At 61.7% G+C, this 26,226-nt stretch overlaps 1 protein-coding gene across 5 annotated transcripts in view, besides 5 other annotated features; it reads right to left on the reverse strand.

The window, feature by feature from the left end:
* SBNO2 (strawberry notch homolog 2) overlaps window positions 1-26,226 on the reverse strand; it is a 66,631-nt gene that overhangs the window by 13,646 nt on the left and 26,759 nt on the right. For 3 of the 5 annotated variants that reach the window (XM_011527804.4, NM_014963.3, XM_047438467.1), the window contains exons 4-11: window positions 26,026-26,137; window positions 6,321-6,482; window positions 2,659-2,739; window positions 2,251-2,356; window positions 1,611-1,762; window positions 1,375-1,508; window positions 1,185-1,275; window positions 856-999 (exon numbers count right to left, since the gene is read on the reverse strand). In XM_011527804.4, coding sequence (XP_011526106.1) covers window positions 856-999; window positions 1,185-1,275; window positions 1,375-1,508; window positions 1,611-1,762; window positions 2,251-2,356; window positions 2,659-2,739; window positions 6,321-6,482; window positions 26,026-26,137 — 982 coding nt within the window. Of the gene's footprint in view, window positions 1-855; window positions 1,000-1,184; window positions 1,276-1,374; window positions 1,509-1,610; window positions 1,763-2,250; window positions 2,357-2,658; window positions 2,740-6,320; window positions 6,483-10,806; window positions 10,939-12,180; window positions 12,264-26,025; window positions 26,138-26,226 lie in introns of those variants that run through there. The other 2 variants (XM_047438466.1, NM_001100122.2) reach the window with 2 other exon arrangements.
* Window positions 1,056-1,559: an enhancer, noted in NCBI's record as "H3K4me1 hESC enhancer chr19:1122338-1122841 (GRCh37/hg19 assembly coordinates)". NCBI's record gives its function as "activates a minimal SCP1, AML or CMV promoter by ChIP-STARR-seq in naive and primed H9 embryonic stem cells {active_cell/tissue: H9 hESC(naive and primed)}" and the evidence as "EXISTENCE:reporter gene assay evidence [ECO:0000049][PMID:30033119]".
* Window positions 9,748-10,412: an enhancer, noted in NCBI's record as "H3K27ac-H3K4me1 hESC enhancer chr19:1131030-1131694 (GRCh37/hg19 assembly coordinates)". NCBI's record gives its function as "activates a minimal SCP1, AML or CMV promoter by ChIP-STARR-seq in naive and primed H9 embryonic stem cells {active_cell/tissue: H9 hESC(naive and primed)}" and the evidence as "EXISTENCE:reporter gene assay evidence [ECO:0000049][PMID:30033119]".
* Window positions 11,741-12,404: an enhancer, noted in NCBI's record as "H3K27ac-H3K4me1 hESC enhancer chr19:1133023-1133686 (GRCh37/hg19 assembly coordinates)". NCBI's record gives its function as "activates a minimal SCP1, AML or CMV promoter by ChIP-STARR-seq in naive and primed H9 embryonic stem cells {active_cell/tissue: H9 hESC(naive and primed)}" and the evidence as "EXISTENCE:reporter gene assay evidence [ECO:0000049][PMID:30033119]".
* Window positions 12,423-12,924: an enhancer, noted in NCBI's record as "H3K4me1 hESC enhancer chr19:1133705-1134206 (GRCh37/hg19 assembly coordinates)". NCBI's record gives its function as "activates a minimal SCP1, AML or CMV promoter by ChIP-STARR-seq in naive and primed H9 embryonic stem cells {active_cell/tissue: H9 hESC(naive and primed)}" and the evidence as "EXISTENCE:reporter gene assay evidence [ECO:0000049][PMID:30033119]".
* Window positions 12,925-13,424: an enhancer, noted in NCBI's record as "H3K4me1 hESC enhancer chr19:1134207-1134706 (GRCh37/hg19 assembly coordinates)". NCBI's record gives its function as "activates a minimal SCP1, AML or CMV promoter by ChIP-STARR-seq in naive H9 embryonic stem cells {active_cell/tissue: H9 hESC(naive)}" and the evidence as "EXISTENCE:reporter gene assay evidence [ECO:0000049][PMID:30033119]".

Genomic DNA, 26,226 nt, shown 5'->3' on the forward strand with positions numbered 1-26,226 from the left:
GCCGCCACGTAGCAGCTCAGCGAGGTATGATCTCAGGGTTATCGCTATTTCGTAGATTGTTGCACATAGATTGTTCAGCCGGGTGCGAAGACACCAGCAGTCTCCCGTTCTGTTTCTGGCCAGTCTGAATGTTCTGTGTCTCGGCGTTAACTGAACAGCAAAGCCATGGCCATGTCCTGTGCATGAAGTGGATGCTGCAGGCCAACGTCCCTCCCTTATCTGAGCCTGTGCTCCCAACACCCCAACACCCAAGGTGCACCCTGCAGGGCCGAGCACCAGGGCTGAGCCTGGCCAAGGGGTGCCCTGCCGTGCCTTTGCTGCTAACTGTCCTGGGTCTCCTGTGGGGGAGCCCCTCCGAACCGCAGCCTGCCGACGAGAGCCCTGGGATGCTGGGGAGTGAACTGTGCCCACCACACTATCAGCTGGGGTTGGCACCTTCCTGACTTGGGGAGCAGCTCAGTGGCCACCCTCTGCCCACGGCATCATGGCAAACATCAGGACCACATCTATGGTCACTCATCCCACTTATCAGAACCAAGAAACCAAGCCGGAGCCCTGTGGTGAATGATGATGGTCACTTGTGTGGTACCCACAGGGCCAGCCTCCCAGGACCAGAAAAGTCTTCTATCCGGAGTCCTAAACCCTGAGCAAAGCTGGGGGCTGGGTGGCCACATCCAGGGTAGTGAGCTCCAGTGGCCTCCAGCCCTTCCCCAGCCCCACCCCTCCGCTCCTACCCTCTCCCATCCTGCCCTCCTCTCCCCTGACTCCCACCCCTCCTCTCCCACTCCTCCATCCTCCTTTTCCCTCCGACCCCCTAATCCAGCCCTCCCCTCCCGATTGCCCCCAGCAGGATACGACGCCCTCGAAGGCCTCCCCACACCAGTCCAGGATCTGCCGGAGGCGAGTGCGGTGCTGGCCGCCGGCCTGGCTCTCCCCAATCAGGGCGGAGTAGGTGGCGAAGAGGACGCCCTCTGAGGTAGTGGTGTCACCGTACTTGATCTGGGGATGCACAGAACAGGTGTGGAATGGGGCCCCGGCTCAGCAGGCTCTGGACCTGGGTCTCCCTATCTGTAAGGGTGCTGGGCAGAGCCTGCCCTGGCTGCTGGCCCACCCAGCTGAGCAGCCCCCACTTTGCAGGGCACGGTCCCCACCTTGCCCCCTACTTTGCCGAGCACAGCCCCTACCTTGCTGAGCGCGTGCACCGCGATGCCCGTGGCTTCGATGTCCCGCAGGTCGCGCTCCGCATCGTACTTGAGGTCGTTGGAGACGCTGAACCTGCGGGGTGGGGGCGTCAGGCGCGCCCACCCTTCCCCCTCGCCCCCCGCTTCCGCCCCCCACCCCCGCTCCCGCCCCCTGCCCCAGGCAGGGCCTCACCACAATGCTTTCTTCCGGCCGCGCAGGTGGTTCTCCAGGATGACTCCGGCCACCGTCCGGCCTTTGCCCACGCCGGCCCCATCGCCGATGAGAAAGCCCGCGCGCTGCCCGCTGGGGAGCAGGACCTCGTGTTGCTGTTGCCGGAGAGCAGGCGTCAGGGCCTGGGGGTGCTGGCCCGGCCCCTCCCCAGGGGCCTCGCGGACACAGGCTGGGCTGGGTTGGGGACATGCGGTCACCTGGCAGGCGTAGGTGATGGCCTCTAGCTGCAGGGCAGACAGGGCCCCGCTGTCCGAGGGCAGGGCCAGGGTGTAGGTGATGTCTGGGGGTGGGACGCTGGACAGTGTGCTGGTCTCCACCACGCGGTCTGGGTGCTGCTTCCCGATCTTGGCTGGAGGAGCAAGGACGGAGGGCAAGGTAAAGGGTATGGCCAAGGGGTGACCAGGGCCGGTTATGGCACGCTGGGCGGGTCTGGGGCGTGGCCAGAGCTGGCGGGGCAGTTTGGGGGCGTGGCCAGGTCCCGTTGGGCGGGTCATGGGCGTGGCCAGGAATGCCTGGGTGGAGGAGTGGTCAGGGCTGGCCGGGTCGGGGGTGTGGCCGCGGCCTGCTGGGTTGGTTGGGGGCGTGGCCAGCGGCTTGCAGGAGGGGCAAATGCATAAAAATCCTCCCAGTGCCTCTGAGGTTCCTTTCCACTTCTCCCCTCTGCGAACCCCGGTTTTGTATAAGCCTGGATTGTAGAACCTGTCCCCGGGCTCTCCGGCCCTCCCTGAAGCTTCACATTCCCTCTGTGGGCTGTGCGGGCGGTGGTCACCTGCAGGGTCTCGGTCCCACAAAAGGGTTTGAACCTGTCCCAGGGCTGGGTGCAGCCGGGCCACTCACACTTGGACGGCACGTAGTCGGCGTAGGTCTCTGTGTGCCCCAGCTCCTCCGCCTCCTCCTCCTCAGCCTCGTCCTCCTCCTCTGGCTGGCTCTGCACACTCTGCTCCTGCGTGCGTGGCGGGAGCTCAGCGGAGACTGCAGGCCTGAGCGGCCGCGGGCACTGGGCTCCCCCAGGGGCAGGGGCCAGGCTGACCATGGGCAGCTGAGTGACCCAGGGGTGGGAGACGGCTCTGTCTGCCCCTGCAGCAAGGTGCTCCCCCAGGGCCTCCATCTCCTCAGCTATAAAATGGGCACTCCCAGCTTCTAGGCCAGCCAAGCGCTCCCCACAATGGAGATGCCTGTGCTGAGCCCTCTCCTTAGGTCCCATGAGAGGGCAGGGGAGGGAGCTCTCGGCTGGGCCCAGCTCACCTGGTAGCTGACGAGAAGCGGGGTGCTGTGGGAGGGCAGAAAGTCCTCGAAGCCTGCAAACGGCCTGCTGAGCTGGAACAGCTGGAAGGGGAGCAGGATGTCAGCCCGGGCCAGACGGGACAGGTCACAGCTGGTGGGCCCTCGCAGCCTGGCCACCAGAGGGAGGCTCCCCACTGCCCCGTCCTCGCCTCCCCATCCTCGCTCCCCAGGGCCCTGGGTCTTGCTCTCCTGCTGTTCTCAGGGTGACCCTGGTGCCTCCCAAGCCTCCCCAGTGGGCACCTCCCTGGGGCCTAAGGCTCGCTCCTCCTGGCCAGCACCTGGCTGCCTTCTCACTGATGGCCAGTGTGCCTGCCTGGAGTGCCCGGGAGGAAGGTGCCCGGCTAGTTCTGACAGACAACACAGCTTGGTCCCGCGGGAGCTGCCAGGAAGGCTGTGGACAGGGGTCTGACAGGAGAGACCCACTGTGTGCCAGCCCCATGCAGTGCAGGAGGCCCTCGGGGGCCTGGGAGACAAGGGGTTGGGAGCTCCCTGTCGAGGGGGAAGAGGAGACAGAGGCAGTGGGGGCGGGCGGGCCTGGGCCTTGTCCCTCACCCGATGGCTCCCAGCACACAGGGTGGGTGGCCCAGGGCAGCCCTGCACTCTCCAAGAACCCCCGTGGGTGCAGTCCCTGAGGCCCCTCGAGGGCAGCACCTCCTCTGTGAGAGATGGGGCAAGGATGCCTGCCACTGTAGTGACCAGAGAACACATCCCACTGCGGCCCCACCCTGGGGAGAAGGACTGCCCGGAGCCTCATGCAGATTCACCAGGGTGGGCAGTGACACTGTCCTCGGGGAGCTGACCCCAGGCCTTGGCAGACAGGTGTGCTGGGCCTCTGGATGAGTCTGTGGCCCACCCAGGGGTCTCCGAACTGACTGGGCGTGTAAAGCCTGTGAACGGGTGGGTCGGGGGGTGGTGTGGCCCGTCGTCATGCCCACTGTCCAGACGCCAACACTGAGACAGTGTGGACCCCGGGACGGATGGCTGGGGGATGGTAGGGTCCAAACTAGGGTCTGTGTGATTCTGGAATATATCCACTCTTAAAAAGCAAAAATCCTAACAGTAATACGAGCCATAAAAAACGTAAGCATGGTCAGGGTACAGTGGCTCACACCCGTAAATCCCAGCACTTTGGGAGGCCAAGGCCTCCCAGAGTGGAGGTCAGGATTTCGAGACCAGCCTGGCCAGCATGCTGAAACCCCGTCTCTACTAAAGATACAAAAAAAAAAAAATTAGCCAGGTGTGGTGGTGGGCGCCTGTAATCTCAGCTGATCAGGAGGCTGAGGCAGGAGAATCGCTTAAACCCAGGAGGCAGAGGTTGCAGTGAGCTGAGATCACGCCATTGTACTCCAGCCTGGGTGACAGGGCGAGACTCCATCTCAAAAAAAAAAAAAAAAAAAAAGTGAGCGTGGGCCGGGCATGGTGGCTCACGCCTGTAATCCCAGCACTTCGGGAGGCCAAGATAGGTGGATCACCTGAGGTTGGGAGTTCAAGACCAGCCTGACCAAAATGGATAAACCCCATCTCTACTAAAAATACAAAATTAGCCAGGCACGATGGTACATGCCTGTAATCTCAGCTACTAGGGAGGCTGAGGAGGCAGGAGAATCTCTTGAACCTGGGAGGTGGAGGGTGCAGTGAGCTGAGATCGCACCACTGCACTCCAGCCTGGGCGACAAGAGCGAGAGACTCTGTCTTAAAAAAAGAAAAAAAAAAGTGTGAAGAATTGGAAAGGGGAGAATCCCGCCGGGTGCGTGGCTCAGGCCTGTGGGAGGCAGAGGCAGAACGGGCGAGATCTTTTGGGGCCAGGGTTCCAGACCAGCCTGGACAACATGATAAAATCCTATCTCTACAAAAAATACAAAAATTAGCCAGGCGTGGTGTCGTGTGTCTATGGACCCAGCTACTCGAGAGGCTGAGGCAGGAGGATCGCTTTAACCCAGAAGGTCGAGGCTGAAATGGGCTGAGGTTGCGCCACCACACTCCAGCCTGGGCGACAGAGTGAGATCCCGTCTCAAAATAAATAAGTAAATAAATAAATAAGAGCATCTCTTCTAGACCCGGTCCCCCCCTTGAACTCCAACGTCCTGAGACGGGTGAGGTTTCCGCCCAAGCCTGCCTGAGCCCGGGCCGGGTTCTCGGCAGTGTGTGGGAGCCACCAGGCTAGTGATGCTAATGAACTGAGTCCACAGCTTCTGCATTTTCTAACACTAGGAACACTCCTGAGGGTTTTTAAAGAAAGTGGAAGCGTGGCACAGGAAGGTTAGAAACCTATACTCAGTTGCCCTCTCCTTTTTTTTTTAAGTTAACAAAACACAAAAAAACAGACGCCACGCAGGTTCCTGGAAGGCTGAGTCACCATTCCCGGTGGGGCTGGCGGGCATTGGGTTTCAGATGCCCTCGTGCCGGCCACAGCAGGCCGGTCAGGCCCTGGCTTCTTTCCTCACGCCCTGCTGAGGACCTGGGAGCTAGCTGGGAGGGCACGGGCCCCGGGCTGGGTGAAATGCTCTGCTGGGCCCTTGTGCCAGAGGGACCAAGCCTGAGCCGCCCACCATGGCTGCGGGGTGCCCTGATGCTTCCTGAGCCGCCCACCGTGAGCCACCCACCGTGGCTGCGGGGTGCCCTGATGCTTCCTGCCTGGGCCCCCAAGCCCGTGAGTTCTGCTGCCCGGGTTGCCCCTTCCTGAGGGCCCGGGAGAGCGGCCTATGGGTGTGAGCCCACCACTGTGCCGGGAGCGTGCGGAGGCTGGCATGGGCCCTCACCGGAAGGCGCTCAGTCCCAGAGACATGTCCAACGTCTGCTCCCAAAGTCTAGAAGCTTCTCTCGTGGACAGGCCCGGATTGGGGAAGGGACTTGCCAGGCCTGGCTCCCAGCCATGCCTCCCTCACCAGACACCTCCACTGAGTCGCACTGGGGCACGGCTAGAGGCTAGGCCCGAAGAACCTGGGGGCCCTGCTGCCCTACAACCCCTGCTCTAGGCCTGGCCCACCCAGGTCCTTCAGGAGCTTCTTGGAGGCAAACCCCAGCCCCTCAGCCCCCACGGACAATGTCCAGCTCCCCACCCTGGGACAGGATCCACCAACCTCGCCCTCTCAGCTCCCCACTAGCGGGGACACGGCCACTGCTGACCCAGGCACCATGGGGCTGGATGCCACCACAGGTGCTGTTCCTCTGCCTGGACAGCCACATTGCCTGGGCCCGCTGGGCGCTGCCTCTCCAGGGGGCCCTTCCTGACCACGCTTCTCTGTCCCGTCACCTTCCTGTGCTTCTCTAGACCAGGGACTCCCCGGGTGCGGTGGACACGGGGCAGGGTCCCTCTCAGGTGGGGCCATAATGGGCACTGCAGGGCGCTGGGCAGCATCCTGGCCCCCCCCAACTCCATGCCAGGAGCACCGCCCAGATGTGGTAGCCACAGATGTCCTGGACGTCGCCTTCTCCTATTCAGGACACAAGAGGACCCTCAACTAACCACCTCATCCATGGCCACAGATGGCGCCGACAGTGACAGGCACAGCCATTGGCACGCAGAGTGGGGGAGACTGAGACCTCACTGGACCGTGTGGGTCCCGGGCTGGGGAGGCCACGCTGGTGGGTCGGGGCTGGCTGGGGGCACCGGGCGCACTGACCTTATCGTGGGTGGAGGGGGCAGGGTTATCGTCCCAGATGGTGGACACCTGGTTGAGGCTGTCAGCCGGCAGGAAGTCGGGCGTGTCCACGATGTCCGACAGGGAGTCCACGGACGAGGAGAAGATGGAGATGTTGGAGAAGTCCTCAAAATAGGAGGAGTCCTGGAAGACAAGGCCAGGCCCGGTGAGGGTGGTACGGGAGACACCAAGGCCCCTCCACGCACTGGAGCACGTGGGGATGGGAGACACCACGGCCCTCCACACACTGGAGCATGTGGGAATGGGAGACACCACGGCCCTCCCAGGTTCAAGCAATTCTCCTGCCTCATCCTCCCAAGTAGCAGGGATTACAGGTGTGCGCCACCATGCCCAGCTAATTTTTTTGTATTTTTACTAGGGACGGGGTTTCACCATGTTGGCCAGCCTGGTTTTGAACTCCTGACCTCAAGTGATCTGCCTGCTTCGGCATCCAAAAGTGTTGGGATTACAGGCGTGAGCCACCATGTGACAGAGCGAGAGAGTGAGACTCCGTCTCAAAAAAGAAAAAAATAAACAAGCAATGGGTGAGAAACACCAACCCTCAGGGCCACGCAGGACGGCGTCTGACTTCTGCAGCACCTGAAGGGCAGCAATGCTGCAGGAACTCTGAGCAGCTCGGGTCTGGGGTGAGCCTGGTGCCATGCCCTGTGCCGGAGGCAGGGGCGGGGGCAGCCACGCCCAGAGGTGGGGCTCGCCATGGGGATGACACACACACACGCGCTGCCCAGTGAAGGAGATGTATGTACATCATTTCATTTTTTTTTTTTTGAGACGGATTCTTACACTGTCGCCCGGGCTGGAGTGCAATGGTGTGATCTCGTCTCACTGCACCCTCTGCCTCCCAGGTGCAAGCGATTCTCCTGCCTCAGCCTCCCGAGTAGCTGGGATTACAGGCACGTGCCACCACGCCCAGCTAATTTTTGTATTTTTAGTAGAGACGGGGTTTCACCGTGTTGGTCAGGCTGGTCTCGAACTCCTGACCTCAGGTGATCCATCCACCTTGGCCTCCCAAAGTGCTGGGATTACAGGCGTGAGCCACCGTGTCCGGCCACATGTGATGTCTCACGCCTGTAATCCCAGCACTTGGAGGCCAAGGTGGAAGATTGCTTGAGTCCAGGAGTTCAAGATTCGCCTGGACAATATGGCAAAACCCCATTTCTACTAAAAATACAAAAATTAGCTGGGTGTGGTGGTGCATGCCCGTAGTCCCAGCTACTCGGGGGGCTGAGGCGGGAGGATCACCTGAGCCCAGAGGGGTCAAGGCTGCAGTGAGCTGTTACTGCACAACTACATTCCAGCCTGGGTGACAGAGCAAGACTCTGTCTCAAAAAAAAAAAAAATAGACTGGGCATGGTAGCTCACGCCTGTAACCCCAGCACTTTGAGAAGCCAAGGTGGGCAGATCACCTGAGGTCAGGAGTTCAAGACCAGCCTGACCAATATGGTAAAACCCTGTCTTTACTAAAAACACAAAAATTAGCTGGGCATGGTGGTGCGTGCCTGTAATCCTAGCTACTCGAGAGGCTGGGGCAGGAGAACTGCTTGAACTCAGGAGGCAGAGGCTGCAGTGGGCTGAGATCGTGCCATTGCACTCCAGTCTGGGTGACACAGGGAGACTCCATCTCAAGAAAAACAAACAAAGAAAAAAACCAGGCATGTCAAGGGGGCGCTGTCTCTCCCTGGAAGCTGTGGGTTCCGTCCCCCTCACCTTGCTCAGCTTTGCCCACTGCCCACCCTGTCAGACCCAAGCACCTGGGCACTGATCACTAGGGACCTTCAGGAACCTGCCCCCAAACAGAGACCCCCGGGACAGAGGTGTCCATGCTGCCCGCCTGAGGCCCAGAGCCAGGTAGGGTGCAGCACCCCCCACCCCAGGAGGGTAGGAGCAGTCCACCTCCCAGAGCCTCTGGAGGCCCCGATCGGCAGGGTTGGGGAGCATTCATCCCACTGAGGCCCACGAGGGCCCTCCGGACACTGCCCACCCAGGCTGCAGAGGGCCTGGTCACGCTGACCTGTGGCCCGGACCCTCCGTGGAAGCATTTCCCGGGCAAGGTCAGGGGCTCCTGAGTTGGTCAAGGCCCCAGCCAGGAGCGGGGGTGAGTTGCTATCGGGCCCAGAACCGCCCAGGCCTTGGTGGTGCAGGGAGCGCAGGCAGAGCGGAGGAGAGCTCCCCAAACCCAAATGCGTGGGTCACACGGCCAGTCCTTCCCCGGAGCTCAGCGTGGACAGAGGGAAGGGACCTCAGGCAGAGACACCTGCCCCACGCCCTCACCAGGTGCCCTTGGCCCAAGAAGACAGGACAACAGGGTCCTCCCGCCCAGGGTCCTCCACCCAAAACTCCTGCCCCAGTCTGAGGAAACACCAGCCCGACTACTCCAGGGCATCCACACCACCCGACCAGCCCCAGGACCGCCCAACGCATCTGAAACACGGGCCTCTGAGAAACCATCACAGCCCAGAGGGGCCTGAGGAGACGCCTAAACACCACGTGGGGTCCTGGGCAGGAAAGGACATGGGGGAAACTGAGGCAATCCAAGCAAAGCGTGGGCCTCAGGAGTTAACGGTGGCGTACGGATGTTGGTTCATCAGCCGTGACAGCCACAGACGGGAGATAGAACAGCAGGGAGCCCGGGAGTGGGTGCACGGGGACTCTCTGCACTGTCCCTGCAGCTTTTCTGTCATTCTAAAACAGTTTGAAAAGTTAAAGTCAAGTCGGGCAGGGGGGAGCTCACGTCTGCTACTCAGGAGGCTGAGGCAGGAGGATCCGTTGAGCCCAGGTGGTCGAGGCTGCAGTGAGCTATAATTGCGCCACTGCACGCCAGCCTGGGAGACAGAGCGAGACCCTATCTCAAAAAAAAAGTTAAAAGTCAAGCAGGGCGTAGTGGCTCATGCCTGTAATCCTACTGTTTTAGAGCCAAGGTGAAAGAATCACTTGAGCCCAGGAGTTCAAGACCAGCCTGGGCAACACAGCAAGACTCCATGTCTACAGAACGTTTAAAAATTAGCTGGGCATGGCAGCATGTGCCTGCAGTCCCAGCTACTCAGGAGGCTGAGGTGGGAGGATTGCTTCAACCCAGTTGGTGGAGGTTGCAGGGAGCCGAGATCGTGCCACTGCACACCAGCCTGGGTGACAGAGCAAGTCCCTGTCACAAAAACAAATAAATAAAAGTGAAAGTCTAATAATGAGGGAGTGCTTGCAGCTTTCAGGCTTCAAGAACGCAGCCTCGAGGCCCCGCCCTGCTCCCCGTCCGGTCCTTCCCAGCACAGGACACCCCACCAGGTGCATGAGCCCTCGAAGCCTTCACTTCTAGCAGGTGCCCTCAGCGATTAGGGACAGAGGGAGACGGGGTTCCCAGGGCTGGCCCTGTTCACATGTGGGAAGCTGAACAGAGCCAGGCCAGCTCCCCCCACAGTGGCTCCGTCCTCTGCCCACATCTGGATTTGACTCCTAGCAGCCACCAGCTCACCTCAGAGACAGCCTAAGTCCCACCCGCGCCTGTGTGTCCCTCCACAGCCCCTCCAGGCCGGCCCAGGCTCCTGCATCCTTCACCACATGACCCACCCACCCTCCAGCCTCAGCTCAGCGGACCCAGTGCCTCCCCAGGGAACCGGGCCCCTCTGCAGTCTGTAGTGAGGGCAAGCACCAAGGCCCCTCAAGGGTGACACTTGCATCCCTCCCCGCCAGCCCCCAGTTCTGGGGCCCCAGGGAGGGCCGGGGCTGCCCGCTGTGGTTCTTGTCTCTGTAGCATTTCAGGAGCCCTGGGCTGAGGTGGGGAGCTGGGAGGACCTGGCTGGGAGGACCTGGCTCTGCCCGCTTCAAAAGCAGCAGACACAGCTCCTCCTGCCCTGGGCAGCCAACTCCAGACCTGACTCCAGAACTGACTCCAGACCTGATGTGCTGCCGCTGCCCTGTGCTCCAGGACCCATGGGGAGCCACAGAGCCACAGGGATTTGCCGGCCTGCGCCACCAGAGCCAGCCCTGACCAGGCCCACCCAGCCTCCGCTCCCTACAAGAGCCCCATAAGACACCCAGAGCCCCTCCACCTGAGGCTTCTCCAGAGGAAAGCCACAGCTCTGGGTCCTACCCCAGGGGCAGAAGGAGGGGGACGCAGCCCTCCCGACAGCCACTGCCACTGTCACTGAGGGCCCCCGTCCGGGCAGGGCTGAGCCCGACCCCCCCACTCCGCTCGGGTCCCCCAGCCTACGCACAGGGCGCCGCTCCCAGCCCGAAGTCTTAAATCTCTGCCTCGGAACCTTCCGGCAGATTCCCTCTCACTGCCAGAAGAGACGGACGGGGCGGGGTGGGGATTTTTTTAGATCCTGGCGGCCTCGGACTCTAGGATGAGATGCCGGCTGCTCCGGCAGGGGGCCCGGCCGTCCTGAATGGGGTCCCACCTCCCAGACCCCTGCCCCCGAGGGCCTCGCCCGCCCCGGGAAGGGAGTGTTACCTTGTTCAGAGCCTCAAACTGCAGCCACAGCTGCAGCTGGGACATGGTCCCGGCGCTCGGGGGGCCAGGGGTCCCCCAGGAAGCGCTGCCCGGGAGCGGCTCCCTCATGACCGCGGCAGCAGCCCCAGCATTGGGTCGGCCGGGGCGGACGGGGGCGGCTCTCCGCCCGGCTGCATTTGCATGTCGGTTTAGTCACCGCCGCCGGCGCCTACTTCCTCTAAGGCCGGGGCTGACTTTCAGGAAATGATGCCGGCCCCGTAAGTCAGGGCAATTACCGGCAGTGCGAGGAGAATTACTGTACGGGGCGGATCTCCCACAGGCGCTGTCAACACGCAACCCCACCCGTGCCCCGCCGCAGGACCAGCCCCCTTTGGGGCACCCGGCGGACGTGCAGAATGCCCAGGTGGGCATGGGCCTCGGTCTCCCCAGACTGCAGGGAGCTGGGTTCCGTTCCACGGGGACCAGCTGCTGTTCCTGGTGCCCCCAAACCACAGGCAGGGAAACTGCGGCCAAGACCGCCTCCCTTCACCCAGCACCCCACGCATGCCAAGCGCACCTCAGGCCCTGCTGCGCCCCCCTGGGGCTCTCCCCACCCCACCCCTGCAGGCTGAGGTCCCCGAGAAGCCCCTGCCGCCGAAGCAAAGTCCCCTCCCTGCTCTTTCCCTGCTGTCCGTGCCCAGGGGGTTCAGCGGGCCCCGTGGCCTCCCTTGATCTGGGGCTGGCGGAGGGAGAGCTGAGCCTGGGCCCCTCCTCTCCAGGCTCTGGCCAGACCCGGCCTCGGCCCCCTGGGCAGGAACAAGTGGTAGCGTCCTGGGAAAAGAACGTTCTCGCTTTGGTAGAAAACCAAGTGTCAATGATGCACTTGCTGGGGCAACCCCGGGCCGCGAGCCCGCCCGCGGCCACACTCTTGCCCGCACTGTGAGGACCCTGGCGCATCACAGGGGCCTAGACACCGCGGGGCAGACACCTGATGGGACCTCACATTGGGCCACAGGCGGTCATTCTCGGTGTCCTTGGAGGAGCTGGGGAGGCCCCAGGGCCAGAGGGGGTGGGAGGACGGCCGGGCTGTGGAGAGGACGGGCCCCATCTGCCTGTACTCAGCGACTGACGGGGCAGAGGCCGCATTGCCCACGAGACCGCGGCCGAGACCGCGCAGGTGGCCACGGCTCCTCCTCTGTGAGGGGAGGAAGGGCCCGGCCCTGTGGCCAGGGGCCCTGGGAAAGAAGGAAACCGCCCCGAGAGGCCAGGGGAGCCCGTGGCTGGGCCGGAGGGCTCGGGACAGTTCTGGGCTTGTAAGACTCCCGCCAGGGCTCTGAGGGGAGAGTGGGACCAGGGGGCCCTCAAACCCTGTGCACTCCGCCCCCTCGGGCTCACCCTGTTCTAGACCCTGAGGCCCTGTGCCAGCCCCACTGGGGCCCCGCGACCAGGCACCGCAGCAGCGGAGGCTGGTGCAGACTGTCGCCCACACCCCTTGCCACGACCCATCACCTCCTGGAGGCTGGGCGACAACACGGGTCCGTGCCGCTGGGGCGAGGGGCCCGCCTGCCAGGCACCCCGCCCGCCAATGGAAAACAACCAATGGGGAAGAAACCCACGGAGCCGCTCAATCCGGCAGCCAATCACAGCCACCGCTCAACCTAGCAGCCAATCACAGCCACCGCTCAACCCAGTAGCCAATCACAGCCACCGCTCAACCCAGCAGCCAATCACAGCCACTCCCAGAGACAGCTCCACACCAGCTCCACGCAAAAAACCCACAACCACAAGCGCTGCTGAGGACGCGGGGCAGTGGCCTGGGAACCATCCTGCAGCTCCTCAAAAGAGGCGAATGGGGAGTAACAACCCAGCAGCTGCACTCCCACGTGCCATCAGGAGGACCCACAGCTCACAAAAGCCTGAACCTACAGCTCAGGAGTGGACCCACAGCCCACAGGACCCACAGCTCAAGGGTGGACTCACAGCTCACAGGACCCATAGCTCATGGGTGGACCCACAGCTCATAGGCGCCTGGACCCACAGCTCATGGGTGGACCCACAGCCCATAGGACCCACAGCTCACGGGTGGACTCACAGCTCACGGGTGGACTCACAGCTCACGGGTGGACTCACAGCTCACAGGTGGACCCACAGCTCACAGGACCTACAGCTCACGGGTGGACTCACAGCTCATAGGCACCTGGACCCACAGCTCACGGGTGGACTCACAGCTCACAGGACCTACAGCTCACGGGTGGACCCACAGCTCCCGGGTGGACCCTCAGCTCCCAGGTGGACCCACAGCTCATGACAGCCTGGCTCCTGCAGCGCAGTCACCACGGAGGAACAGGGCCAGCACAGTGAGGCCGTCCACACACTGGAACACGACCCAGCCATGAAAAGGAGCAAGGCTCTGACCCAAGCCACAGCACGGATGCACCTTGAGGACCTCACACTCAGTGAAAGACGCCAAACACAGAAGGCCACGCAGTGTGTGAGGCCATTTCTATGAAATGTCCTGTCCTGAACAGGAATCCACACAGACAGGAAAAGCATTCAGGTTATCAGGGGGTGGGGATGGGCTGGGGAGTGACAGCTGATGGGAACGGGGCTTCCTGTGGGATGATGGAATGTTCTGGAACTAGACAGAGGTGGTGGTTGCACAACTCTGTGAATATACTTTTTTAAAGTGTGGATTTGGGCCCGGCACGGTGGCTTACGCCTGTAATCCCAGCACTTTGGGAGGCCGAGGTGGGTGGATCACGAGGTCAGGAGTTCAAGACCAGCCTGGCCAGCATGGTGAAACCCCGTCTCTACTAAAAATACAAAAATTAGCCAGGTGTGGTGGTGGGTACCTGCAATCCCAGCTACTCGGGAGGCTGAGGCAGGAGAATTGCTTGAACCCGGGAGGCAGAGGTTACAGTGAGCTGAAATCGTGCCACTGCACTCTAGCCTGGGCAACAGAGCAAGACTCTGTCTCAAAAAAAAAAAAAAAAAAAAAAAAGGTGGATTTGGCCGAGCGTAGTGGCTCACACCTGCCATCCCGGCACTTTGGGAAGCTGAGGTGGGCAAACAGCTTGAGCCCAGGAAGTTCAAGACCAGCCTGGGCAACATAGTGAGATCCCATCTCCACAAAAAATACAAAAACCAGCTGCGCATGGTGGCGGGCACCTGTGGTCCCAGCTGCTCAGGAGGCCATGGCAGGAGAATCACTTGAGCTAGAGAGGTGGAAGCTGCAGTAAGTTATGATCACACCACTGCACTCCAGCCTGGGCAACAGAGCAAAATACTGTCTCAAATAAATAAAGTGGATTTTGTGGTATGTGAATTTTGTCTCAGTTTTTAAAAGACCTGGAAAGCAACGAAACAGAAAGAACAAGCACAGACTCCGACTTGCTCCCCAGGCCCCAATGTGACAGCACAGCCCAGGGTCCCTGGAGCAGGTCAGACTGAGGATAGGGGTGCGCCGCCTAGGGACCTGCTGGGCACTACCCCACCCACCTCCGGCGCCCCGCGCCCAGTCCTGGGCTCCCGTGGCCCGGTCTCTCCCTCCGCCTCTGTCCAGGGTGCACCCCTCACTGACCAGTCCCGCAGCAACGCTGACCGAGGGCTCCGTGTAAGCCTGGCTGAATGCCCGCTGCCTCAGCCCTCACAGGAACCCTGCCCTGCATTACAGGGAGGGAAACAGGCTACGGGGATGGGAGGGGCTCCTCCTGGAGGGGGCTGGGGGGCAGACAGAAGAGGCTTCCAGGTGGTCGTGGGGCACAGGTGGCACTTCCTAGACACTGCCAGTCTTTGGTGGCTGGGAGAAGGGCCCCTCAGCAGGCCTGGTCACTAGAGTGCCCCGTGCAGAGCTGAACTGTGTCCCCAAAATGGTGTGATCATGTCCTGGCACCTGGAAGCTGTGTGTGTGGCCTTATTTGGGAATCCGGTCCTTGCAGATGTGAGTGGTTAAAAAAAAAAAGGCCGCACTGGCCGAGCGGGTGTTCTGTGCCTGGTGTCCTCATTCGAAGGAGACACAGTCCCGGGGAGGAGGCCACGGGACACAGAAGCAGAGATCCCAGCCCTGCGGCCACAGCCAGGGGATGCCCGGATCCCCCAGATGCTGGAGGGGCCGGAAGGAGCGCGGCCCTGTCCGCACCTTGACTTTGGACTTCCAGGCTCCAGGGCTGGGAGGGGACAGAGTCCTGGCCTTTGAAGCTGTGTGTGCTGCTTCCTCACAGCAGCCCTGGGAGGCTGGCACGGCTCCCCAGGAAACTGGGCTCCCTTCTGTCAGGGTTCCGGCCAGGTGCCTGGTATGGGCCCTGGGGCCGCCGCCTCAGTGTCTTCTGGTGCTGCAGCCGGGCAGGGCCGAACCCTGGCGCACAGCTTCCTGCTGAGTCTCCCTCTCTAAGGCTGTCTGTGGGCGGCTCTGCCGGCCCCTCCTGCACCTGCCCAGGCCCTGGGCGGAGGCTCCTCCTCCCGGGGGGGCTGTGGCCTCAGCACAGACCAGGGGACAGAAGGTGGCTCTTCTTGGCCTTGGCTGGGTGTGAACCAAAGACTTCCTGTAAGAAATCCCCCTCTCCCTCTCCCTCCTTCGCTCCCTCATCTCTCTCCCTCTTTTTTGCCCAATGCCAGTAACTGTGGGGGCTCCGTGGTGCCGGATGGGCCGAGGCATCTGACCCCTGCTGAAACGCATCTGCAGAACAGTCAATGCTGCCTGCCTCCCTGCCTGAAAGCAGCCAGAGTTTGCAAAGCGCTTTTCTGAGCCGTGAGCTCATCCTGAGCTTCCCAGAAGCCCCCGGGCTGCCAGGCAGAGAGTGTTGTTACCGGACAGCTGCGTTCCCAATGGTCCCTGCAGCCCCATGGGGACCCGGGATGGATGCCCGGCAGGTGGAGAGGTCCTCACAGGACAGGTGGTGGGCAAGGGGGCAGCACCTGGGGAATGGGGATGGGCTGTGGGTGCCGAGAGCCCCAGGAGCCCAGCAGAGACGCAAGGGATCTGGGTGATGTCAGGAAGGGTGAAGGAGCACCCCCACCCCAGGAACAGGCGGCAAGGGATGGGCGAGGGGCAGTGAGGCGAGCAGGACCTGGGGAATGTCCTGTGTAGGGGCACAGGCTGGGGAGAGGCTTGGGCTGGGGTGCGGTTGGGGGAGGCTGGCACTGGGGTGCAGTGGAGGAGAGGCTCGGGCTGGGGTACAGTGGGGGGAGGCTCAGGCTGGGGTGAGGCTCGGGCCGGGGTGCGGTGGGGGGAGGCTCGGGCCGGGGTGCGGTGGGGGGAGGCTCGGGCCGGGGTGCGGTGGGGGGAGGCTCGGGCCGGGGTGCAGTGGGGGGAGGCTCGGGCCGGGGTGCGGTGAGGGGAGGCTCGGGCCGGGGTGCGGTTGGGGGAGGCTGGCACTGGGGTGCAGTGGAGGAGAGGCTCGGGCTGGGGTGCAGTGGGGGGAGGCTCGGGCTGGGGGGGTGAGGCTCGGGCTGGGGTGCGGTGGGGGGAGGTTCGGGCTGGGGTGCGGTGGGGGGAGGCTCGGGCTGGGGTGCGGTGGGGGGAGGCTCGGGCTGGGGTGCGGTGGGGGGAGGCTCGGGCTGGGGTGCAGTGGGGGGAGGCTCGGGCTGGGGTGCAGTGGGGGGAGGCTCGGGCTGGGGTGCAGTGGGGGGAGGCTCAGGCTGGGGGGAGGCTCGGGCTGGGGTGCGGTGGGGGGAGGCTCGGGCTGGGGTGCGGTGGGGGGAGGCTCGGGCTGGGGTGCGGTGGGGGGAGGCTCGGGCTGGGGTGCAGTGGGGGGAGGCTCAGGCTGGGGGGAGGCTCGGGCTGGGGTGCGGTGGGGGGAGGTTCGGGCTGGGGTGCGGTGGGGGGAGGCTCGGGCTGGGGTGCGGTGGGGGGAGGCTCGGGCTGGGGTGCGGTGGGGGGAGGCTCGGGCTGGGGTGCAGTGGGGGGAGGCTCGGGCTGGGGTGCAGTGGGGGGAGGCTCAGGCTGGGGGGAGGCTCGGGCTGGGGTGCGGTGGGGGGAGGCTCGGGCTGGGGTGCGGTGGGGGGAGGCTCGGGCTGGGGTGCGGTGGGGGGAGGCTCGGGCTGGGGTGCGGTGGGGGGAGGCTCGGGCTGGGGTGCAGTGGGGGGAGGCTCAGGCTGGGGGGAGGCTCGGGCTGGGGTGCGGTGGGGGGAGGCTCGGGCTGGGGTGTGGTGGGGAGGAGACCAGAAGAGGCACCAGGGGCTGCCCTGGGGGACACTCACCCCACACAGAAACAGGTGCCGGAGAGCCTGGGGGTGGGGCCGCGAGGCTGGGCTGGGCCTGGAGCAGGGGACCCACGGGAGGCTCTGGGCACAGAGGGTGGGCTGCAGCAGCAAGGGCCCCTTATCCTCGAGCAGGAACCCAACACCCCCCAGCCAGACCCAGTCATGCCTGGAACACACAGACATGGACCTGCATATGGACGCTGCTAACAGCGATTCACAGCTGCTGTCAACCCATACCTACTCCTGGGTATGAGCCCAAGAGAAACGAAAACGTGTCCACTGGGAAGTTTGCACCCGTGCTCACGGCGGCACAACTCACGACGGCCACGGGTGGAAGCAGCACAAGCGTCCATCACGGACACACAGACAGACACAGTGGGGCCCTCCACGCCTCCATCACAGACAGACACAGTGGGGCCCTCCACGCCTCCATCACAGACGGACACAGTGGGGCCCTCCACGCCTCCATCACAGACAGACACAGTTGGTCCTCCACGCCTCCATCACGGACAGACACAGTGGGGCCCTCCACGCCTCCATCACGGACAGACACAGTTGGTCCTCCACGCCTCCATCACGGACAGACACAGTGGGGCCCTCCATGCGTCCATCACGGACAGACACAGTGGGTCCTCCACGCGTCCATCACAGACAGACACAGTGGGGCCCTCCACAGGTCCATCACGGACACATGGACAGACACAGTGGGCCCCTCCACGCGTCCATCACAGACAGACACTGTGGTACCTGGTACCTCCACGCGTCTATCATGAACAAAAACAGTGGGTCCTCCACGCGTCCATCATGAACAAAAACAGTGGGTCCTGCATGCGTCCATCATGGACAAACAAGGTGGGGCCCCTTCATGTGCCGGAACACGGCTCAGCCATAATCAGGAGCCAGGCTCTGACCCAGCCATAGCTCGGATGTACCTTGAGGACATCACACTCAGTGAGAGACGCCAGAGGCAGGAGGCCATGCAGCGTGTGATCCCATTTCTATGAAATGTGCAGGACAGGCCAAGCCACAGAGACGGGAAGGGGATGCGTGGGCGCCGGGGCAGGGGAGGGATGGGGAGTGACAGCTGACGGGGACAGGGCCTCCTCTAGGGGGACAATGATCTGGAATTAGAATTACATGGTGATGGCTGAACAGCTCTGGACTTTGTAACAGCCACAGCATCGTTCACTTAGAAATGGGGACTTTTCTGTCACGTGAATTGAGTCTCACGTGACAGAAAAGGGGCGGGGCGTGGTGGCTCGCACCTGTAATCCCGACACTTTGGGAGGCCGAGGCGGATGGATCACCTGAGATCACGAGTTTGAGACCACCCTGGCCAACGTGGTGAAACCCCGTCTCTACTAAAAATACAAAAATCAGCTGGGCGCGGTGGCGCACACCTGTAATCCCAGCTACTCGGGAGGCTGAGGCAGGAGAATCACTTGAACCAGGCAAGCAGAGGCTGCAGTGAGCTGAGATCGTGCCATTGCACTCCAGCCTGGGAGACAGAGTGAGACTTTGTCTCAAAAATAAATAAATATGGTGCGCGTCTGTAATCCCAGCTACTCAGGAGGCTGAGACAGGAGAATCGCTTGAACCTGGGAGGCAGAGTTTGCCATGAGCCGAGATAGATCACACCATTGCACTCCAGCTTAGACACCAAAAGCAAAACTCCATCTCAAAACAAAACAAAAAACTAGAGAAAAACAGAGACAGAAAAGAAAGAAAGAAAATAAAGAAGAAATGCAGGCCGGGCGCGGTGGCTCACGCCTGTAATCCCAATGCTTTGGGAGGCTGAGGTGGGTGGATCACAAGGTCAGGAGATTGAGACCAGCCTGGCTAACACGGTGAAACCCCGTGTCCACTAAAAAACACAAAAAATTAGCTGGGCGTGGTGGTGGGCACCTGTAGTCCCAGCTACTCGGGAGGCTGAGGCGGGAGAATGGCATGAACCCAGGAGGCGTTGGTTGCAGTGAGCCGAGGTCACGCCACTGCACTCCAGCCTGGGCGACAGAGCGAGATTTCATCTCAAAAAAAAAAAAAAAGCAGCAGCAACACAGAGCCACGTGTCCACAGAACCACGGTTCACCTGCACACCGCGGCAGGGGGCCCCACCAGGACACACGGGGCTGAGCCATCACCCACCAGGGACATTGAGCCTGATGGCTTCGCGCCAACCTGGAGACGGAAGGCTGAGCAGAAGTGAGGGGGGCCCTTCCTCCGGGCCAGGGTGGCTGGAGGGCCGGGCAAGGCACACACGTGACACCGCGGGAGCCCCGCAGCCCACGGTGGATGCCAGCAGCGGCATCCTGGCGCAGCGTGAGCCCCAGGGGTGGGGGTGGGGGTGGCCAGGGAGCAGGCAGAGAGCGGGGAAGGGGTGGGGGTCCCACACAGACCCAGCCGTCAGCAGGAGAAGGCACACGGAAAACAGACGGACGCAGCAGGGATGCCCGCAGGCAGCTCCCACGGGCAGAGGCTGCTGACCCCGCCTTGGGCAGGACCAGCCTCTGCTCAGCCTTGGGTCTTCCCCCAGGCTGAGAGAAACAGGAAATGGATGGTGAAGGAACCCCGTCCCCGCCAAGCGGCCAAAGTTACCAGCATCAGCACAACACGCGCAACGCCAGGCACTCCGGTCCACGCCGCACTGTACATGGTGCCGTCTGAGGGATTCCTCCATCCAGTCAGGAGACAACCCCAGACAAAACCAACGGAGAGGCACTCTGGAGAAGACACACCCTGGAGAAGACACACCCTGGAGAAGACGCACCCCGGAGAAGACGCACCCCGGAGAAGAGGCGCCCCGGAGAAGAGGCACTCCGGAGAAGACGCGCCCCGGAGAACACGCGCCCCGGAGAAGAGGCACCCTGGAGAACTGCCTCTTCGGGGGCAAGCGCAGAGGCTGCTGACTCCCCCGGTCCAACAAGCTCTTAGTTTTTGCAATTTTTTTGTAATTTTTTTTTTTTTAGACAGAGTCTTGCTCTGTCACCCAGGCTCGAATGCAGTGGCGCAATCTCGGCTCCCTGCAACCTCTGCTTCCCGAGTTCAAGTGATTCTCCTGCCTCAGCCTCCTGAGTAGCTGGGATTACAGGTGCCCGCCACCATGCTCAGCTAATTTTTGTATTTGTAGTAGAGACGGGGTTTCGCCACGTTGGCCAGGATGGTCTCAAACTCCTAAGCTCAGGTGATCTGCCCGCCTTGGCCCCCCAAAGTGCTGGGGTTACAAGCTTGAGCACTGCGCCTGACCTGTAAATCTAATTTTTAATTTTGTATAGAGATGAGGTCTCATTATGTTGCCCAGGCTGGATCCACGTGTCCTTCATGGACAAACACAGTGGGCCCCTCCACGCGTCCATCACGGACAAACACAGTGGGGCCCTCCACGCATCCATCACGGACACACGGACAAACACAATGGGCCTCCCACTGGGAACTCCCAGACTCAAGCGATCCTCATGCCTCAGTCAAATAGATGGGACCCAAATACTGGGACTACAGGCTTGCACCACCATGCCCGACTAATTTTTTCTATTTTTTATACAGATAGGGTCTCACTATGTTGCGCAGGCTGGTCTCAAACCCCTGGGCTCAAACAATCCTCCCGCCTTGGCCTCCCAAAGTGCTGGGATCACAGGCGTGAGCCACCGTGCCCAGTCCTGACTCAAACATGACCTCCTGCATTCCCAGGGGCAGAATCTCCCAGGCACAGTGGCCCTACTCGGAGTCTGTGAAGTGAAGACCACCAGGTGAGCCATGATCAACCCTCCCCTCAATGACCTCCCTCACGATCAACCCTCCCCTCAATGGCCTCCCTCCTCATGATCAACCCTCACTCAGTGACCTCCCTCATGATCAACCCTCCCTCAATGACCTCCCTCCCCACGATCAATCCTCACTCAATGACCTCCCTCCCCATGATCAACCCTCACTCAATGACCTCCCTCATGATCAACCCTCCCTCAATGACCTCCCTCACGATCAACCCTCCCCTCAATGACCTCCCTCCCCACAATCAATCTGCCCCTCAGTGGCCTCCCTCCCCAGGCCGTGAAGGCTCTCCAGCAGAACCAACAGTGCTGCGGAGTCCACTGGCCCCAGGCACTGCCCGGGTCCACGGCTCATCTGCTTTCTCCTATTGCTCTGGCTGCCAAGAAACTCAGGGCTCAGGTGTATCAATAGTTACCAGGCGGATCGCCTGAGGTCAGGAGTTCGAGACCAGCCTGGCCAATATGGTGAAACCCCGTCTCTACTAAAAATACAAAAATTAGCCAGGCGTGGTGGCGCACACCTATAATCCCAGCTACTCGGGAGGCTGAGGCAGAAGAATGGCTCACACTTGGGAGGCAGAGGTTGCAGTGAGCCGAGATTGCACCACTGCACTCCAGCCTGGGTGACAGAGCGAGACTCCGTCTCAAAAAACAATAGGCCAGGTGCGGTGGCTCATGCCTGTAATCCCAGCACTTTGGGAGACGGGCAGATCACCTGAGGTCAGGAGTTCGAGACCATCCTGGCCAACATGGCGAAATCCCATCTCTACTAAAAATATAAAAATTAGCCGGGCGTGGTGGTGGGTGCCTGTAGTCCCAGCTACTTGGTAGGCTGAGGCAGGAGAATCGCTTGAACCCGCCAGGCAGAGGTTGCAGTTACCCAAGATGGCGCCACTACACTCCAGCCTGGGCAAGAGTAAGAGTCGGTCTCCAGAAAAAAAAGTCATGACTAGCTGTCTCGTTATGGCCTGTGGGGTTTTACATTCACCCTCACTCCCAGCCCAGGAACAGGTTCTCCCTACCAATCCCTCCAGGTTTATACAACAGCAGGAAACATTTGCAGGGAATGCACACATGCCACAGGTCACACGATGGCTTTGAACGGTGCCTCCGTTTCCCCTCGCTCCCGTGAAAAGCTACTGTCAACCTCATGGCTCCAACAAGCTGAATATGGTGGCTCACGCCTGTAATCCCCATGCTTTGGTAGGCTCAGGCAGGAGAATCGCTTGAGCCCAGAAGTTTGAGACCAGCCTAGGCAACACAGTGAGACCTCATTTCTACAAAACATAAAAAATTATCTGGGTGTGGTGGTGTGTCCTTATGGTCCCAGCTACTGGGGAAGCTGAGGTGGGAGCTTGAGCCCAGGAGGTGGAGGCTGCAGTGAGCCGAGATTGCACCGCTGCACTCCAGGCTGAACAACAGAGCCAGACCCTGTCTCTAAAAATAAAAATTAAAAAAATATATAAATGAAACACACACTTATCCTCTCACAGTCTGGAGGGCAGAACTTGTAACATCAAGGGTGGGCAGGGCAGGTCCCTCCCGGGGGCTCCAGGGGAAAACCCAGTTCCTGCCTTTCCAGTGTCCAGAGGCACCCGCATCCCTTGGCTTGGGGCCCCTTCTTCCCCCTTCACGGCCAGAGCGCAGGCTCTTCCCGTCTCTCTCTGGCTCTCACCCTCCCGCCTCCTCTCATGAGGGCCCTGTGAGGACACTGGGTCTCCAGGTCACCCAGGAAGCTCTCCCGTCTCGGGTCCATCACTCAGTCCCATCTGCAGGTCCCTGTGAGGACACTGGGCCTCCAGGTCACCCAGGAAGCTCTTCCGTCTTGGGTCCATCACTCAGTCCCATCTGCAGGTCCCGTCTGCCATGAGAGGCGACACGGCGGCAGGTCCTGGGGATCAGGACGGGGACGTCTTGGAGGCTGTAACCGTGTGGCCAGCACATTTCCTCAGGTCTGAGTCGGGAGCAGAGGCTTCCGTGGCTGGCTGGGCTGCGCTGGGGGGCACGGCGCAAAGGGCCTCGAACACCAGGCTCAGGTCTGGGCTCCTTCCTGGCTCCGCAGAACCACGCGGCCCAGCCCACAGGCCTGGGCTGACTCATACCCGTCCCGTCCCACACTTGGCACCGCGGGACCACGCATCCCGTCCCACACTCGACACCACAGAACCTTGCGGCCCAGCCCACAGGACTGAGCTGACCCACACCCGTCCCATCCCACACTCAGCACTGGGGGACCACGCGGCCCGGCCCACACTTGGCACCGGGGTCAGACTTCCTCCAAATGAAGTTCTGCTGCTTTAACAGGGAGATTTGGGTCCAAGCTGCCCCACATACGGACGCTGGAGCATGAGGCGGCTGTAGGCAGGGTGGGCAGGGAGCCGGGCGGGCGGTGCTCACAGAACCAGCACAGTGGCCCCGAGGGCTCCGGGCTGAACAGATGCAGCAGCAATTGTTCAGGAGGGGAGGAGCAGGAGAATTCATGAGACAGAGATGGAGACGGAGACAGAGACAGAGACATGGAGAGAGACAGAGACAGGGAGACAGAGACGCAGAGACATAGAGACATAGAGACAGAGGCAGAGAGGGAAACAGACGAAGACAGAGAGGGCGACAGAGACAGAGGCAGAGAGGGAAACAGACGAAGACAGAGAGGGCGACAGAGACAGAGAGGGAAACAGACACAGAGGCAGAGAGGGAGACAAAGAGACAGGTGGAGAGGGAGACAGAGAGACAGAGGCAGAGACAAAGAGACAGAGACAGAGAGGGAGACAGAGAGACAGAGACAGAGAGGGAGACAGAGAGACAGGGGCAGAGACAAGCAGAGAGGGAGACACAGACAGAGACAGAGAGGGAGACAGAGAGACAGAGGCGGAGATGGAGACAGAGACAGAGAGACAGAGACAGAGAGGGAGACAGAGACAAAGAGGGAGACAGAGACAGAGACTGAGAGGGAGACAGAGAGATGGAGCATAGAGGGAGACAGAGACAGAGGCAGAGAGAGAGACAGAGGCAGAGAGGAAGACAGAGGCAGAGAGGGAGGCAGAGACAGAGAGGGAGATAGGCAGAGAGAGATTGAGAGGGAGGGAGACAGAGAGAGAGACTAGGAGCAGGGGGAAGAGGGAGAGAGAGAGACAGAGAAAAGAAAGAGACAGGCCGGGCACGGTGGCTCACGCCTGTAATCCCAGCACTTTGGGAGGCTGAGGCGGGCGGATCACCACAGGTCAGGAGTTTGAGACCAGCCTGACCAACATGGAGAAACCCTGTCTCTACCAAAAAAAAAAAAAAAAAAATTAGCCAGGCATGGTGGTGCATGCCTGTGGTCTCAGCTGCTCGGGAGGCTGAGGCAGGAAAATCGCTTGAACCTGGGAAGCGGAGGTTGCAGTGAGCCAAGATCGTGCCATTGCACTCCAGCCTGAGCAACAAGAGCAAAACTCTGTCTCAAAAAAAAAAAAAAAGAAAGAAAGAAAGGAAAGAGAGAAGGAACACACAGAAAGAGGCAGAGAAGGGGTGAAAGAGAAGAAGGGGGCGGGGCAAGGACAGGCTGACCCAGGGCTGGGGCTGGTAGGAAGGCAGTGGCGGTGAGGAAGGAGCCACTGCCATCAGTCGCACCCCGGGCTCCTCCCCTGTGCGTCCCCTGAAGGGTGGGGCACAGATGCCAGCTCTGGACAGGCGCCTCCCCTGCCTCAGTTTCCTTCTGTGTCCGGCTGGCATGGCGCAGCAGCTTGCCACACCTTGGCCAGGACCAGATCACATGGGGGTCCAGGGCTACTGCGGGTGAGGACAGAGCCCCTGTGCGCACCTCGCTGACCTCAGCCCCAAGATGAGCAGGGGCGCCCCCCTCCCCTGAACACAGCTGGTAGGCCAATTTCCAGGCCACACACTGGGGGCTACAGGACAGGAATCCACCCTCTTCCCGTCCCAGGGCCCGGGAGTCTGAGGCCAAGGTGTCTCAGGGCCTTGCTCCCTCCCACAGCTCTGACCCACCTCTTCCAGCCCTGGGGCTCCAGGAGAAACTGACCTGTGGCCACACCGCCCCAGCCCCGGCCTCCAGCGTGGCGCCAGCTCCCAATCTCTCCTGTCTCTTCTGAGGACCCTTGTGCTGGATTTCAGAGCTACCTCATCTCATCTTGATCCCTACCCAATGACATCCAAAAAGACCCTACTTTCCAGGAAGGTCCCCTCACAGACTCTACTGGGGAGGCGGACTTGACGGACGCGGTCACCCCAGCACAGACTCAGGGTCCGGCTGGCTTTGCCCCGCTCTGCTACGGCCCTGAGTGGGGAAAACTGGGCCCGGGGTCCACCCGGCGAGCTGTTTGCAGGGCCTGGGTCTGGGTGAGCCCTGGGACCTGAATTGGCTCCATTCTGCTGCAGCCACACCTGACCGCTTCTCTCTGGATCTGGCCGGCTTGCGCCCATCCCCCCAACAGCTCTGAGGCCCAGGCAGATCTCACATGCCCATTACACAGGGGAAGCGGAGGCTTGGGGGAGCTGAGCACCAGGTGACCCTCGCTCCCCGGCAGGCCCTGGATGTGGTCCGGCCCAGCAGCAGCCCCTGGCCCCGGGTCCCACACGGAGGCTGTGGTATCCGAACCGTCCCAGGGAAGCCGATCTCTGTGGCACTGGGTGCTCCAGAGCTGCCGAGAGGAAGCTGGGGCACTGGGAACCCCTTGGGGAAGGCTGTGAGGGTGGGGGTGGGGTCCGCCTGATGCCGCAGTGGGAGGCTGTGAGGGTGGGGGTGGGGTCCGCCTGATGCCGAAGGGGGAGGCTGGGAGGGTGGGGGTGGGGTCCGCCTGATGCCGCAGTGGGAGGCTGGGAGCCTCCCCGCGACCCTGGGGAGAAGGAGGTGGAAAGTTCTGTTCCTTTGGTATGTGAGTTCCGTTTTCAGGTGGCTGCTAAGGGGTTGGGACTCCAATGTGCAGGGTGTCTGGACCCGCCTAGAGGGAGGGCCGTGGGGGCAAAGGCTGCCAAGGGCATCTCTCCCAGCACCGCCCTCCCCGCAACTCCCTCTGTGGCATTGCCCAGATGCTCGCAGGGACCCCAAGGGCTGGGCGGGGCTCACTGCTGACACGAAGGGCCAGTCACTGGCTCTTCCCCAAAACCAAGCCACATCTCTGGGCTCCTACTGCCCCACCGTAAACCCTGCGGCCGAGGGGCCAAGCCGAGGTCACTGAGTCCCAGGCAGGCCTGAGCGAGAGAGGTCGCAGGGCAGCTGGAGGGGCGGCCCAGACTCCACCCTGCCCCCCACGGCGCGGTGAGCTCCTGGGGCTCCTACCTGAGCAAAGTCGCAGGTCTTTGGTGGCAAGCTGGAGGCGGTGGCCACGGGGGCATAGCTGGTGTCTGGGCAGGGCTGGCTGCCGAGGAAGGAGGCGGAGCTCATGAACGGGCTGGAGGGAGATGGGGGGGGGGGAGGTGAGATGGGGTGCTCAACCCACTCCCTCAGTAACACACCTGCACCCCCATGGCCGCAGCCAGA

Source organism: Homo sapiens, chromosome 19, assembly GCF_000001405.40.
Source record: "Homo sapiens chromosome 19, GRCh38.p14 Primary Assembly".
NCBI lineage: Eukaryota > Metazoa > Chordata > Mammalia > Primates > Hominidae > Homo > Homo sapiens.